Source organism: Homo sapiens, chromosome X (assembly GCF_000001405.40).
Source record: "Homo sapiens chromosome X, GRCh38.p14 Primary Assembly".
Classification (NCBI taxonomy): domain Eukaryota; kingdom Metazoa; phylum Chordata; class Mammalia; order Primates; family Hominidae; genus Homo; species Homo sapiens.
This window is the reverse complement of record NC_000023.11, coordinates 130,004,114-130,018,883: the sequence shown is the minus strand read 5'-3', so window position 1 is coordinate 130,018,883 and position 14,770 is coordinate 130,004,114. Positions and strand designations below refer to the sequence as shown.

Sequence of the window (14,770 nt, the reverse complement as noted above, 5' to 3'; positions counted from 1 at the left end):
TCAACAGTTTCCTTCTCAGGAAGGTGGCATGTAAAAAAAAAGAAGGAACGAAGTGATTTGCACTCCCAAAAAATAGACATTTACTAAATCCTTACAGGCAGTTGCAAAGAGCTGCTTCCAGGCCCCTGATCTTGTCATTTTAATTTCTGCCCTCTGCATTTGATAGTGGGCCCACTGAACTGTTCATCTAATATAGGATAGGGCAGTGCCCACCTGTCACTGAGTCATCTGAGAGACATAAGCTTCATGAGAGGCGGGGCCACATCTATTTTGTTTGTAATGCTAACAATAACAGCAACCACTAACACTAACTGAACACCTACTATGTGCCAGATACTACTGTACACACTTATGTATATCACGTTCTTTAATCTTTTTTAAAATGACAGCTTTACTGAGATACAATTTATTAAGACATACCATGCAATTCACTTAAGTGTAAAATTCAATTGTTTTTAGTATAGTCATAGAGCTATGTAACCATCCCTACTTATCTAGCTCCAGAACTTTTTCATCACCCTGAATGGAAACCCAATACCCATTAAACAGTCACTCCCCAACTCTTCCATCCTCCCCAACCCTAGGCAACCACTAGTCTACTTTCTGTCTCCATGGATTTGCCTATTGTGGACATTTTATATCATCATCTCATTTAATCTTCACAACTCTATGAGTAGATACTATTATTGTCTTGTGTATAGATTAAGAAACTGAAGGCCATAGAGATTAAGTAGCTTGACTAATAGCACACAGCTAGGAAGAGGTGGGGCCAAAATTCAAACCCAGGCTCCGTGTCTGGCTCCAGGGAGCATACTCCTCATCAATCTATGATACCACCCTCCTGAAGAGGTATTCCCATTGCCTGGGAAGGACTGGCATACAGTAGCCATGCAACAAAAACTTGCAAAACATTCAGTGAAACAGTTCCATGGGCGGAGAGTAGAAGATGGCCAGGTGAGGTGGCTCACGCCTGTAATCCCAGCACTTTGGGAGGCTGAAGCAGGAGGATCGCTTCAGCCCAGGAGTCCGAGACCAGCTTAGCCAACATAGTGAGACCTCGTCTCTACAAAAAATAATTAGCCAGGTGTAGTGGTACACACCTGTGGTCCCAGCTACTTGGGAGGCTAAAGTGGGAGACTGCTTGAGCCCAGAAGGTGAAGGCTGCAATGAGCTGTGATCGAGCCACTGCACTCCAGCCCGGGTGACAGAGCAAGACCCTGACTCAAAAAAAAAAAAACAAAAAGAGAGTGGAAGATAATATGGTATAGCTGAAGAAGAACATGGACTTTGGAACCAGAGACCAGAGTCTGAGTTCTAGCTCTGCAAGTTAGTAGCTGTGTAACTGGGTAATGTATCCTCTCTGAGCCTCTGTTTCATTTATTTTCTCACCTGTAGATTGGTGTAGCATTCACCTCATATGGTTACTGTAACGATTAGATAACAAATGTAAAAACACAACTCTAACGACATGAATTATTATTCTTATTACCACCGAGCGCAGATGGCAATTACCTGCCAAACGTTATATGCTCTACTGCGTCATGACCCACGTTCCTACTTCACGTGTCTCTGACATACCAGGGTGGTTGTGAGGTTTGTGAGTTAAAATCCACCCAAACACCTATCCCAGGGGTTCTTAACCTGCAGTCCCTGGGTGAGCTTTGGGCGATGGGGCAGAGGTCAGGTCCATGAACCCCCTAAAATTATTGGCAAAATTCTGAGGTCACATTTCTGGGAACAGGGTCCATAGCTCTCACCAGCTTTTCAAAATGGTCTATGGTCCAAAAAAGACCATAAACTTGTGCCACAGCCAAATTCACAGTGCTCTAGCCAGAAATTTTGTCCCTTAGTGTACATGAACATCCAACTTGAAAGCTTGCTAACAGAACTTCAAGTTGTTCTAGATTTTTAATAAACCCTATCCTCAAATGTTTCAAGATTCTCCTTGGATCACCAGTAGCCTCTGGTCCCTTCTGGGGGACCAGGGGATTCTCATCAAGTGCTCCTGGCCCACCTTTTTGCCTAGAACTCTGCCACCATCCATAGCCTGTCAAGACCAACACCCAGACACCCAACCTGCCTTGCCCATCCAATCCCCAGTGGGCCAAAACCCAAAGCTGCTGCCTCAAGCATTCGAGCGGGTAGGAAACTGATTAGCACAGAAGCCAAATTGGCTCTGACCCCACAAGGCTCCCAGCAAATCCTAAGCAGGCCCCCCAACCAGTGGTGAAAGGAACAACCCCGTCAGAGGCCCCTGCTCTCCCCATCCCTAAGTTCTCAAGGCCAGTGTTCTCTCAGTAAAGGAAAAGGAAGAATGGTTATTCAAGGAAGAGCCTGTTATTCATTGATTTCCCTCACCAATACCTTCTTCCGCTTTCCGATCTCATCTGGGACAATGGCTTCCCTACCCCAGGGACAGAATCATTTCCCACATCCTACAAACTACAAGCCAGCCTCTCCCCATGCTGAGACACCGTATATGGAAAATGTGACCTAGGGAGGGGACAGCAGGTCATTATTACTTTTACAAAAGCCTTCCAATCCGTTCAGTTCACACAGCTGCCCAACAGCACTGTGTCACAGGGTAGGGGTCACAGGAGGTTGCTATCCATGGCACGAAGTAGACCAGCGGCATCTCGGCCCCACCCTGGACCTTAGCTCAGCACTCACCTTGGGTCTGTGGGAACTCCGGACCACGGCCTTGGCTTGTGGCTGGAGCTGCTGCTCTTCACTGTCCTTCTCTTTGCCGCACTTCATCTTCTTGGGCGGCAGAGATTCCGTCACATCATCTGGCTGCCACTTGTTCTTGCAAGCAAAGACCCCTACGCTTTCCTGTTTCACTCGAGCCTGCCCGGCCTTAGCCCGAACTTCAGCTTGGCCCCTCTGGGGAGCCACTGGGAGGCCATCAGCCCGGAAGCAGGTGGCTAAATTGAAGACCACATCACCATCCACCTTCTCCATTTTCACTCGCCCCAGATCCACCTGGCTTCCAAGCTGTGGGCGCTCTGTGCTGGAGCCCCTCCTGCTGCTCGGAACCACGTCCAATATAAGTTCCTTGGGGTGGCTGTCGTGAGGTAGCAAAGGCAGCTCAGGCATCTTAGGCAGGTTCTGGGGGGTGGCCAGGACCAGCTCATGGGACATGTAGGTGGCCAGCACTTGGTTCTTAGGCTTCGTGTCTCCTGCCAGCTTCAGGCCACAAGCCCCCTGGGGGCCTTCCATCTTAGGAGTGCTGTCAGAGCAGAGGTGGCTCTCTGATTCCTCAGGCCCCTGATTCATTCGAATGTCCCCACCGCTAGGCTGAACAGACAGTGCCAGGGTCCCAGTCTGAGGGCTGAGGGTCAAGAGGACAGGATTGACTTGTTCTTCATAAGGCTTGGCAGCAATCCGGCAAGTTTTGTTCTTTGTAACAGGGTCCTGCTCTGGAACGAAGGAGCCCCCAGGCCGTGGTTGCCCCTCAGGAAGTCCGTGCACGGCTTCGCTGGAGCTGAGAGATGGCACACCAGAAAACTCCGAAACAACGCTGGTGGGCCTGATGGGCGCCCCCTGACTGGGGGTCAGCTGCCCGGCACTGGAAATGCCAATGGAAAGCAGAGACGCCTGGTGGTACGGGGACCAGCCAACAGGCAGGACCTGGGTGCTGGTAGGTTTCCCATTGACTGAACACCGGGGATAAATATTTGCCGGCCCCGTGGGTTTCCACAAAGAGAGTTCCTTGGTTTGGCACCCTGGCAGCCCAGGGGCAATGCGGGCTGGAGTATATCGTTTCACTGTGCTTGGCTGTCCCTCAGCACCAGCCTGGCTGCCCTTTTTGCCACACGTGGCACCAGTGCCCTTAGGCTCTCCTTGATCAATGATGGAGATGGGCTCCTGCTTGGGGAGATGGCGGGGGTCACGGTTGAGGCCCAGGTTGGGGTCTTTGTTCAGCAGCAGGGATGCAGGCACTGGGTTGGCCACTCCCACGTAGGTGCCAGGAATGGTGCTGATCAGTGCAGTTGAGTTCTTCACCCAGGTGCTCGGGTCCCCATTCCTCACGATCTCGGGAAAGATGACAAAGGGCGAGGAAGTGGAGCCCAGGCAGGAGGTGACATTGCCACCGGCAGCCTGGGTTGTGCGCTGAGACCTAGACAGGACTGTGGAGAGGAGGGCCTTGCTGCTGGTGTGCACGGGGGTCAACACAGGCATGGGGGGTGTCTTGCGCTGGTTCGGCAATGGAAGCTTCTGGCGGTTGGACTTGGAGGACAGATCAAGGGGCATCTCGCTGCACTCAGGTGGAGAGGCCATCTCTCGTTCCAGCTGTGGCGGTGACTTAAGAGGAGAGAAGGTAACGGAAGTCCCTTCTGTTTGCTGCTCGGTGCCACTGGGCATCTTGGCGGGGTGCGGTGGGGCTGAGCTCCCACTGGGGGCTGGCAGCAGAGGCTGTGGAGTTGGAAGCACCTTGGCAGAAGCAGTAACAAGGGAGGTATCTGCCAAAGGCCCAGGGACCCCATCGGGTGCAGGCTGGGTGGTGGTGCTACCGGATGGGGAAGTGCAGGGGAGCCTGTTCACCTCCAGAGATACCAGCTTGGAATCCGAAGTCAGAGGCCGGGCCACAGAAAATGCATACGGGTAAGAACGGAGCTCGGGGGAGGCTAGCACGCCTGGGAGACACCTGTCCTGCAGGTAGGACGGCAGGACAGGGAGCGTAAGAGTGGAGGAAACCCCTAGAGTGGTTGGCAGTGTGGCCACACTGAGTGGCTGCCCACAGCTTGGAGGCGGGATATATACCAGCGGCTGGCTCGGGGTCAGCACTGTCCCTGGCTGAAAGGACAGGGGGACTTTTTGCATAGCTGGTGCCTGAGCTGCAGGAAAGCACACTCTACTCAAACTGAAGGAGGCCGGGATGGGTGCAGAGGTGGGAATGGCAGCTGGCGTGGCAGCAGGCATGGGTGTAGGGGCTGGAGTAAAGATGGGGGCTGGGGTGGGTGCAGGCACCGGTGTAGGAGCAAAGGCGGGGATGAGGGTGGGGGTAGAAGGTGGGCCGGAAGATGGGGTTGGAGTGGGCATGGGCACAGACGGAGGGGCAGGGGCCGCTGGAGGCGTGGATGCTGGCATGGGAGCCAGAACCGGAGTGGGGACGGGAGCGAGAACCAAGGTCGGAGCTGAAGGGGGCACAGGAGCCTGGATGAGAGCCAAGGGAGGAGCTGAAACTGGGACTGAAAGCGGGGCAGGAGCTGGAGCCGACAAGGGAACCGGGCCTGAAGGGGGAGCAGAAGCTGGCACAGGCACCAAGACTGAGGCCGAAACAGAAAGGGGGTTCGAGTCAGAGATGAGCGTGGGCACTGACGGTGGCGCTGGAGCCAGAGCCGGGACAGGTGCTAAGGGAGGGGAAGGAGCTGGAACCGAAGTGGCAACTTGGACTGGAACAAGCCCTGAATGGGGGACTGGGGCAGGGACGGAGAGGGGAACCTGGAATGCATCTGGAACAGAGTGGGGCACAGAGGCCGAACCGGGAGCAGGGGGACAGATAGGGGCTGGCAGAGGACTGAAGTTAGTGGTAACCAGGGGCAGGGTCCCCTCCACAGGGACTCCAGTTCCCAGAGTTGCCAAAATGAAAGTATTCTTCTCTCCAACACCTTGCCGAGAGTCCAAAGCCTTTACTCCGGCGGGTGAGCAGTCAACCTGTTTGCTCATTTGGGTGTTGAGTGGAGTCCAGGAGCAGTCGGCCCTGCTGTTGCTGGCCTCGGCGCTGTCAGATGCGGGAAGCTTGAGCCCGTCTCCTGGGCTGCTCAGGGGCACCAAGAGGCCCTCAGCCTCTGCCACGTTCCCAGCGTAGTCCATTTTTGGCTGGGGATCGTCAGGCTTGTCTTCTGACTTGTGCCCAAGTTTTTCTGTAGCACTGCCATCTGGGTCTGCCCCCCGGGCATTGCTGCCACTTCCAACTGCCGTGAGCTCCACCTGCAACGACAGGATAGCATGCACATCTCAGCCAGCTCCCTGCAGATGGTGCAAGTGTCCTGAGGCCCGAGAGGCAACTGCTGGTCTTCTCTGCAACTCGACCAACCAGGTCTCGGAAGACGCAGAGGGCAGCCAGCCAATTTGTGTCCCACCAATACCAACTCCTGGGAGAGACCCTGTCCCTTCCTGCCCACTTCCTGGGATGGCAGGCTGGGCACACCTCCCAGGCAGCTCAGCTCCATCCTTTGGTGGACAGCACGTGGCTCCATAAAGCCTCTTACCTTGGAAAAACTGCTGCTGACACAAAACTCCTGAGATCCAAAGTGCTGGCAGTCGCCTGTCGTTGACTCCTCATCAGAAAGAGGTGCTCTTCTAGCATGGAAGATACAACCAGAGAAGGGACATGAGGCCCAGGATTTGAGCCAACACCACCTTCCCCAGAATGCCTCCTGCCTGCCTGGGTCCCCATAAAACCTTCCTACCTCACTTCCTGTAGTAACTTGTGAGGGGGATTACAAGGAACTGGGGGTTCTTGGTTACAAAGCGGAGGCGCCACACCTAGCTTTGCAAGTCCCTACCAGAGCCCAGTCTGACTAGACCCCCCTCTTTGGACTGTTTACCCTGTTTTCTAGGGCTCTTGCCAGGAGTGTGGACACCCTAGCACTTTTACCTTTTCCCTGGAGCTTACCTGCCAAAATGACCATCCAGGATGTACAGGGCATTGCTCAAAGGGGAGACATGAGAACCACTGAATGCCTCAAAAGGCATGCAAAACCCATTTTTCTTTTAAATACAATCTTATTTTAAGTCTCTAAGGGCAGCTGGCTGAAAGTGTCATATGGGTAATCCTCTTCTAAAACAAATAAACCCCTGTTGTGTTTTCAGGTCTAAATCTGAATCGTCACCTATTCACCTCCTGTCTTGCCTAGAGCAGAGACATGTTTATTAGCACTGGTGATGATACCACTTGGAGGCCACCAGGTCACTGGGTGCTGAGAGGCATTTTAAGAATACTACTTTTTTCCCTCCAGGAGACACTGCCCCCTTTTTTCTAGAGTTCTAGGCAACACCCTCCCTTCTACCCTCCTTCTATCCTTGCCTACATCCTATCTCCTGCCAGCACCCCTCCCTGCCCCCCCATCAGTCTCCCAGCACCACTTTGTTCTCTCCTGTCCGAAAAGCCTCAGACCCCAAATTCAGGTTCATATGTCCCAGAGAAAAGGGCTCAAGGCCAGAGAGCTGGGTCCCAAAGGAGGAAAACTCAAATGCATCTCCCCCTGTTTAAAGTCTTCTCCAAATTTCAGGTAAGCATCATAGAAAATTGTACATCCTGACAAAAAAAAAAAGGGAGAGGGTGGCATCAGACTGCCTCCCTCCCCTGGTATTTTAAGTACAGCAAGAACTATTAGGCCAGGCATGGTGGCTCACACCTGTAATCCCAGCACTTTGGGAGGCCAGCTGAGGTGGGTGCATCACTGAGGTCAGGAGTTCAATATCAGCCTGGCCATCATGGTAAAACTCCATATCTACTAAAAAATACAAAAATTAGCCAGGCGTGATGGCAGGCACCTGTAATCCCAGCTACTTGGGAGGCTGAGGCAGGAGAATCGCTTGAGTCTGGGAGGCGGAGGTTGCAGTGAGCCGAGATCCCACCACTGCACTTCAACCTGGGCGACAGAGTGAGACCCTGTCTCAAAACAACAACAACAACAACCAAAAAAAACTATTGCCCCCTGCCCTTGGGAGCTGTGGGTGGGAGTGGCCAAGGAGGAGGTTTAGATTAAAGAATAAAACCCCAACATAGACGCTGCAGTGCGTTTCCTGGGTGGGCAAGGCACAGGACTGCTCTGTGTGCCCCTGGGGAAATACACTGTGCCTGAGGTGACCTCCCTTCTTTCTTTCCTTTTTTCCCTCTTTTTTTTTTTTTTTTTTTTTTTTTTTTTTTTTAGATTGAATCTCGCTCTGTCACCCAGGCTGGAGTGCAGTGGCACGATCTCGATCTCGGCTCACTGCAACCTCCGCCTCCTGGAATCAGGCAATTCTCCTGCCTCAGCCTCCAGCATAGCCAGAATTATAGGCATGCTCCACCACGCCTGGCTAATTTTTGCCTCCCTTCTTTAGAGGCTCACCCCAAGCTCCTGAAGACAGCCCTGAAGAAGCCAGCTCTCGCCTCCCCAGTCACCCTAGCCAAAGGGCAGTCAGGTTGCTGGAGCCAACCCCAACAAGAAGGGGGAGGGCCCTGCTAACTTCCTCCCTCCCACTGAAACAGGGACTCCAAAATTGTACCTGGGGCAAGAGAAGCAAAAAAGGCAAGGGGGATCACCACGGGCCTCTCCCCATCTTTTCAGGGATCCAGAAGGGGCTAACCGAGGGGGAAAGGCTTGTTCCCTTTAAAAGGCAGTTGGACTGGCAGAAGTGGGAGGGCTCCACTGCTGGAAGTGACTGTTGGTGACAAACAGAAATGACTGTAAGGAGAGGCAAGGGCTTTAGATGCAGTCAGGGTGGTCTCGGGGAAGGGGAGGGAGGGAGGGCCTGAAGGAAAGGGAAAACATACTTTCACATCAACTCCTAAGAGACCACAAAAGCGAGACCTATGCCCAGCCTTGGGCCAGGGGGAAGCGTGTTCCCACTAGACTTGCCAGGGACGGTTTTAGGGGGAGTACTCAAGGGGAAACAAGCAGCACTTCCCCCAAGCAACCCCACATGGGAAGGTGCTATTTATTTACATTCTTTCCCCTCCTGGCCATACAAAAGGGAGTGGGCTGCATCCTCATTCTCCCCTTGCAAGCTCCCACCCTGCCTGAAATGACACCTCGAAAGCAGAATCCCTGCCGTCGAAGGCAGCTGCCAGAGAACCACAGAACCAGGCCAAGCAACAGCAGTCCTGGCCACTCCAGCCATACCCACACCTGAGTCCAGCCCCGAAGGCGCTGCAAAATGTCATGCAGCCGTGTTTCAAATCCTCTGAGAAGAGGGGTGGGCAGAGCTAAGCAAACATTAACTTGCTCCATTGAGAGAAGAGCCTGGGACAGGAGTAACTTGCAGGGGAGGGGGCCCGGGAAGAGCTGGGTCAACCAGGCAAGGTTATGAGGGTGCAGCTGGCGGAGGCGGGCGGCAGGAGGGAACAGAGGTCATAGCAGGCTTCAGTCAGGACTGAAAATCAATCCTGCTGTTTCTTCCCACCACAGAGGAGGCAGAGCTGTTATGTTCAAGGCTTTGTGGAACTTAAACCAGAAATGGCCATGACCCCTCTGGGCCATTTCCCTAATTATTAAGGGCTAGCACCACTGTCAAACCGGACCCTCTTCAGTTCCTGCTGGGCCCAGACTACCCGTAAGAGAAATATACCACCCAGCACACACCAGGCTCCTTACCTTCCAGTCCTGGGAGACTTTCCCTGGTTCGAGTCCCACAGTACCCCAAGATTGCCTTCATTCCAACTTGGACCTTCCCCAAACACACTGTGCTTTTTTTTTTTTTTTTTCTTTCTTTTAGACAGAGTTTCTCTCTTGTTGCCCAGGCTGGAGGAGTGCAATGGTGCGATCTCAGCTCACTGCAACCTCTGCCTCCCGGGCTCACGCCTGAGCCTCCCGAGTAGCTGGGATTACAGGCATGCGCCACCACGCCCAGCTAAGTTTTGTGTTTTTAGTAGAGACGGGGTTTCTCCGTGTTGGTCAGGCTGGTCTCGAACTCCCGACCTCAGGTGATCCACCTGCCTCGGCCTCCCAAAGTGCTGGGATTATAGGCGTGAGTCACCGTGCCCAGCCACACTGTGCTCTTATTGTCTCAGGGAAATACCAGCTCTCACCTCAAACTCCTACTCATTCCTCAAGCCTGGGCTCAAATGCCACTGCCTCTGGGAAGCCTTTCCTTATTCTCCCACCAGGAGGTTTGTCAATCTTGCATCTGGACTCCCACTGGACCCGGACATGCAATTCTAGGGCACTCACCACCAATGTACTAGAACTACTGGTTTGCTCTCATTATGTTGAATAAATGTTTGTTGAATGAAGGCATGAATTAATCCTAGAAGGGATGCAAGCAGGCAAGCAGACACATTTAGCTGTAGGTTTGCCTAGAGACGGCCACCTGGGGCCAGCCGCAAGCCCATGCCTCCTGTTCTACAGTCCTCAATTGCAGCTGCCAAAGCTGGCAGGCCTCTAAAACATCACTTTAAGAGTTGAACCCCAGGCACAGCTTTGTACCCCAAATTCCTAAATTCTACAAGTTGTAAAGGGCCAAGGAAAATGATTTTTAAATAAGGTGAGATTACATTTTGGAAACCAGTGATAGCATGGTCTAGGCTGTAGCGGCCTAGACTGTAGCAAGAAGGTGACAATAAAGGGTGGATGAGATCAAAAGTGACAACACTTAAAAGGTCATCTTAGGCCGGGCGTGGTGGCTCACATCTGTAATCTCAACACTTTGGGAGGCTGAGGCAGGTGGATCACCAGAGGTCGGGAGTTCGAGACCAGCATGACCAACATGGAGAAAACCCGTCTCTACTAAAAATACAAAATTAGCCGGGTGTGGTGGCGCATGCCTGTAATCCCAGCTACTCGGGAGGCTGAGGCAGGAGAATCGTTTGAACCCGGGAGGCGGAGGTTGCGGTGAGCTCAGATCTCACCATTGCACTCCAGCCTGGGCAACAAGAGCTAAACTCTGTCTCAAAAAAAAAAAAAAAATGTCCTCTTAAGCACTAGGCACAGGTTTAGAAGGAAGGAAAATCTGGCTGGGTGCAGTGGCTCACACCTGTAATCCCAGCACTTTTGGAGGCCAAGGCAGACAGACTGAGATCAGGAGTTTGAGACCAGCCTGGGTGACATGGTGAAACCCTGTCTCTACTAAAAATACAAAAATTAGCCAGGCATGGTGGTGCACACCTGTAATCCTAGTTACTCAGGAGGCTGATGCACGAGAATCACTTGAACCCAGGCAGCGGAGGTTGCAGTGAGCCGAGATCGTGCCACTACACTCCAGCCTGAGCAACAGAGCAAGACTCCATCTCAAAAACAAAAAACAAGATGGAGGGAAAATCAGATTTTGAGCCTACTTCCTGCTCCTTTCTTGGCAGGGATTTACAGTAGATGGTGAACTAAGGTAACTTGTCTATTGGCCTCTTTTATTATTATTATTTAATTTTATTGTTTTTGAGACGGAGTCCTGCTCTGTCACCCCGGTTGGAGTGCAGTGGTGCAATCTCGGCTCACTGCAACCTCCACCTCTCGGGTTCAACTGATTGTCTTGCCTCAGTCTCCCCAGTAGCTGGGATTACAGGCATACACCACCATGCCTGGCTAATTTTTTTGTATTTTTAGTAGAGACGGGGTTTCGCCATGTTGGCCAGGCTGGTCTTGAACTCCTGACCTCAGGTGATCCACCCGCCTCGGCCTCCCAAAGTGCTGGGATTACAGGCATAAGCCACAGCACCCGGCCCCGCTGGTCTTTTGAAGGCTCTAGTCCAGATTTCTGCATCAAAGTCTCAACTACTTATAACTAGGTCAACATGACCTGCCAATGAATACTTACGCAAATCATTATCATCACCCTGCCTTTCCCTAGATCATCTCTTAGTGATCATCTGAGGACATGCTTCATATGTAAAGGAAAACACTTTTCTTCCTGAGCACCTAAGAATTTCATCTCATTTTCCATGGTCTTGACTCTTTTTATCCTAAAATTAAATTCCTTTTAAGCCCATCTCTAACTTGTTCCTCAGTACAGAGAACATTAAGCTATCAGGCACTAATGGCTTAAGAAAATAAAAAGGTCTATTCTGCTAACCTTGACCTCAGACAAGTATATACTTCTCCAGTTAGGAACAGAAGAACAAAGTAGATAAACACAAAGACTTCCATTCCTTTTCCCTTCAAATTACCAATACTCCCCTATATGCGCACACACATTTCTAAGATTTACCCAAGAAACGTCAGATCTTGAATCCCAGGGAAAGCCATATTGTTCTGTGTCTTGGTGATTTATCTGATGTATATTTGAATTTAAACAGTCAATGGATTGAAACAACAAAAAAACACCAGCAAGCATGAAGGAGCAGTGCCTTCTCTAAAAATGAGAGAGGCGGCCGAGTGCAGTGGCTCACACCTGTAATCCCAGCACTTTGGGAGGCCGAGGTGAGTGGATCATGAGGTCAGGAGTTCGAGACCAGCCTGGCCAACATAGTAAAACTCCGTCTCTACTAAAAATACAAAAATTGGCCAGGTGTGGTGGCATACGCCTGTAGCCCCAGACTCTGTCTCAAAATAAATAAATCAATAAATAAAAAATAAAAACGGCCGGGCAAGGTGGCTCACACCTGTAATCCCAGCACTTTGGGAGGCCGAGGCGGGCGGATCACGAGGTCAGGAGATTGAGACCATCCTGGCTAACATGGTGAAACCCCGTCTCTACTAAAAATACAAAAAATTAGCCGGGCTTGGTGGCGGCACCTGTAGTCCCAGCTACTCGGGAGGCTGAGGCAGGAGAATGGCGTGAACCCGGGAGGCAGAGCTTGCAGTGAGCCGAGATCGCGCCACTGCACTCCAGCCTGGGCGACAGAGTGAGACTCCACCTCAAAAAAAAAAAAAAAGAAAATGAGAGAGGCACTGCAGCCATCACACACAGCTCTTTGACCAAGGGTTATGAAAGCCAAATATAAATTCTGAAGGCCATTTTGAGTGCTTTGGGTATGGGGCATGATCAGGCAATGGCACATCTTGGTCAACCAAATATTCTGGGGAACAGATAACTGAAAATACACACGTGAGGCAGGTGTCACCAACTCTCAAGACTATGCTAGGCGGTCTCAACTTCCTTTGATACTTCATAAGGATCTCACTTCAAATCAGAATTAGCCTCATGAGGTGAGAAAGCGCTGACCACCAGAATGCCCACTGCCAGTTCCCAGTAGAAATCTGAACAATAAAACCATCTTTCTTCCAGACCTAGATCAAAGACTGAAAATACCTTACACATATCCTTGAGCACCAAACTTTGATGCAGCAAATAAAAACTGCAATCGCTGGCCAGGCATGGGCAGTGGCTCACACCTGTAATCCCAGCATTTGGGGAGGCTGAGGCAGGCAGATCACTTGAGCTCAGGGGTTCAAGACCAGCCCGGGCCACATGGCGAAACCCCCGTCTCTAAAAAACTACAAAAAAAAAAAAAAATTAGCCGGGCGTGGTGTTGCTTGCATGTGGTCCCAGCTACTGGTGGGGCTGAGGTGGGAGAATCACTTGAGCCCAGGAGGCGGAGGTTGCAGTGGGCCAAGATTGTGCCACTGCCCTCCAGCCTGCATGACAAAGCGAGGCTCTGTCTCAAAAAACAAAAAAAAAATTGCCATTGCCTGAGCTTCCCCTTACTCCACAGTCTGACAGTTGTTAATGAGTAGACAAGTGCTAGCTGGCAAAAGGTCATTTTTTTGGCCTCCTCACCTTCATCTGAAAAGAGATAGCATGGCAGATCAGGCCACTCACACAGCCCCATCCCCATCCCACCACAGGAAAATTAGAAACAACTAAGAGTCTTCTCCTCCCCAGGGTCCCTCCCCAGGCCCTATTGTATGCAGCTATCCCTCTGGTGACGAGGTACTGCTCACTGGAGGCCAGCAGCGGCCACCTTCCTGGCCTCCTCACCTCTCCTCGTTGATGCCACACATGCGAATCCGGTCAGAACTGGTCCAGTTGTGCACGCCGCTGTAGAGCGGTGCTGTAGAGATCATGACAGCCACTCACCACCAGATAGGACCTGCTGTGGCCACTCCCCCTGGGGAAAAGAATTCCAGAAAATCAAAACTCGTAACAGGGACAGCTGCTTCAATCACCTTTTACACAGCAATGTTTCAATAAAGGTAATTACAGCATCAGAATGTTAAAGCAGCCAGCCTGCTATGGAAAATTAAGGTCTAAACCGGGAAGAGGGAGCACCAGCTTTCTAGGAATCCATAGGTTTCAGGATGGAGATGAGGACATTGTTAATCACCTAGAGTGAGTTTTAAATTATCTTAAAAGACAGATATGCTTGAGTAGAGGAAATTCAATCTATTTCAGACAAATGAGATGACAGTATATATTTCTACACACATTTAGCCTAACCAACTACAATTAGAGAGTCATACCCATATATGAATGGTGCACTAAAACACTACTGGTGACCTTTTTCTCGTCTACTCTCTAATCCATGGGTACTGAAGTATTTGAGTGACGTAGCCAATTTACACTCTTCAGAGGAAGCACATGCTTTTTTTCGTAAGTCCTTCAAAAATACTCCATTGACTTTGAGTTGGAAATAACACACGTATCTAACCTGGTTTCAAGCTCCCTCCAAATCAGGTGCAGTACTCCTTGCACGCTGACCACCAACAAGCAAACAAACAGAAAACAACGTTCCATCCAGAACTACGTGTTTCGGCAGGGCGCGGTGGCTCACGCCTGTAATCCCAACATTTTGGGAGGCCGAGGCGGGTGGATCACCTGAGGTCAGGAGCTCGAGACCAGCCTGGACAACATGGTGAAACCCCGTTTCTACTAAAAATAAAAAAATTAGCCTGGGGTGGTGGTGTGCACCTGTAATCCCAGCTACTCGGGAGGTTGAGGCACAAGAATCGCTTGAACCCAAGAGGCAGAGGTTGCAGTGAGCTGAGATCATGCCAGCGCACTCCAGCCTGGGCCACAGAGCAAGACTCTGTCTCAAAAAAAAAAAAAAAAAAAAACCACACATTTCTGTCCTTGTCCCTTCCTGTCAGTCTGTTGTCTCCATGTTCCACCACTCTCTTCACCAGCCAATGTCCCTCTCTCGCTTTGACAAGCAGGGCACAGTTAATTTACCTTCTAGAAAAAA

The 14,770-nt window shown here is 51.2% G+C and overlaps 1 protein-coding gene across 20 annotated transcripts in view; it reads right to left on the bottom strand.

Moving 5' to 3' along the window:
- The window catches only part of BCORL1 (BCL6 corepressor like 1), a 77,759-nt gene that overhangs the window by 39,188 nt on the left and 23,801 nt on the right, over window positions 1-14,770 (bottom strand). For 18 of the 20 annotated variants that reach the window (XM_005262453.5, XM_006724777.4, XM_047442344.1 and 15 more), the window contains 3 exons: window positions 13,567-13,696; window positions 6,216-6,306; window positions 2,671-5,934 (listed from right to left, as the gene is read on the bottom strand). In XM_005262453.5, coding sequence (XP_005262510.2) covers window positions 2,671-5,934; window positions 6,216-6,306; window positions 13,567-13,652 — 3,441 coding nt within the window. In that variant the 5' untranslated portion in view covers window positions 13,653-13,696. Of the gene's footprint in view, window positions 1-2,670; window positions 5,935-6,215; window positions 6,307-8,220; window positions 8,377-13,566; window positions 13,697-14,770 lie in introns of those variants that run through there. The other 2 variants (XM_047442347.1, XM_047442346.1) reach the window with 2 other exon arrangements.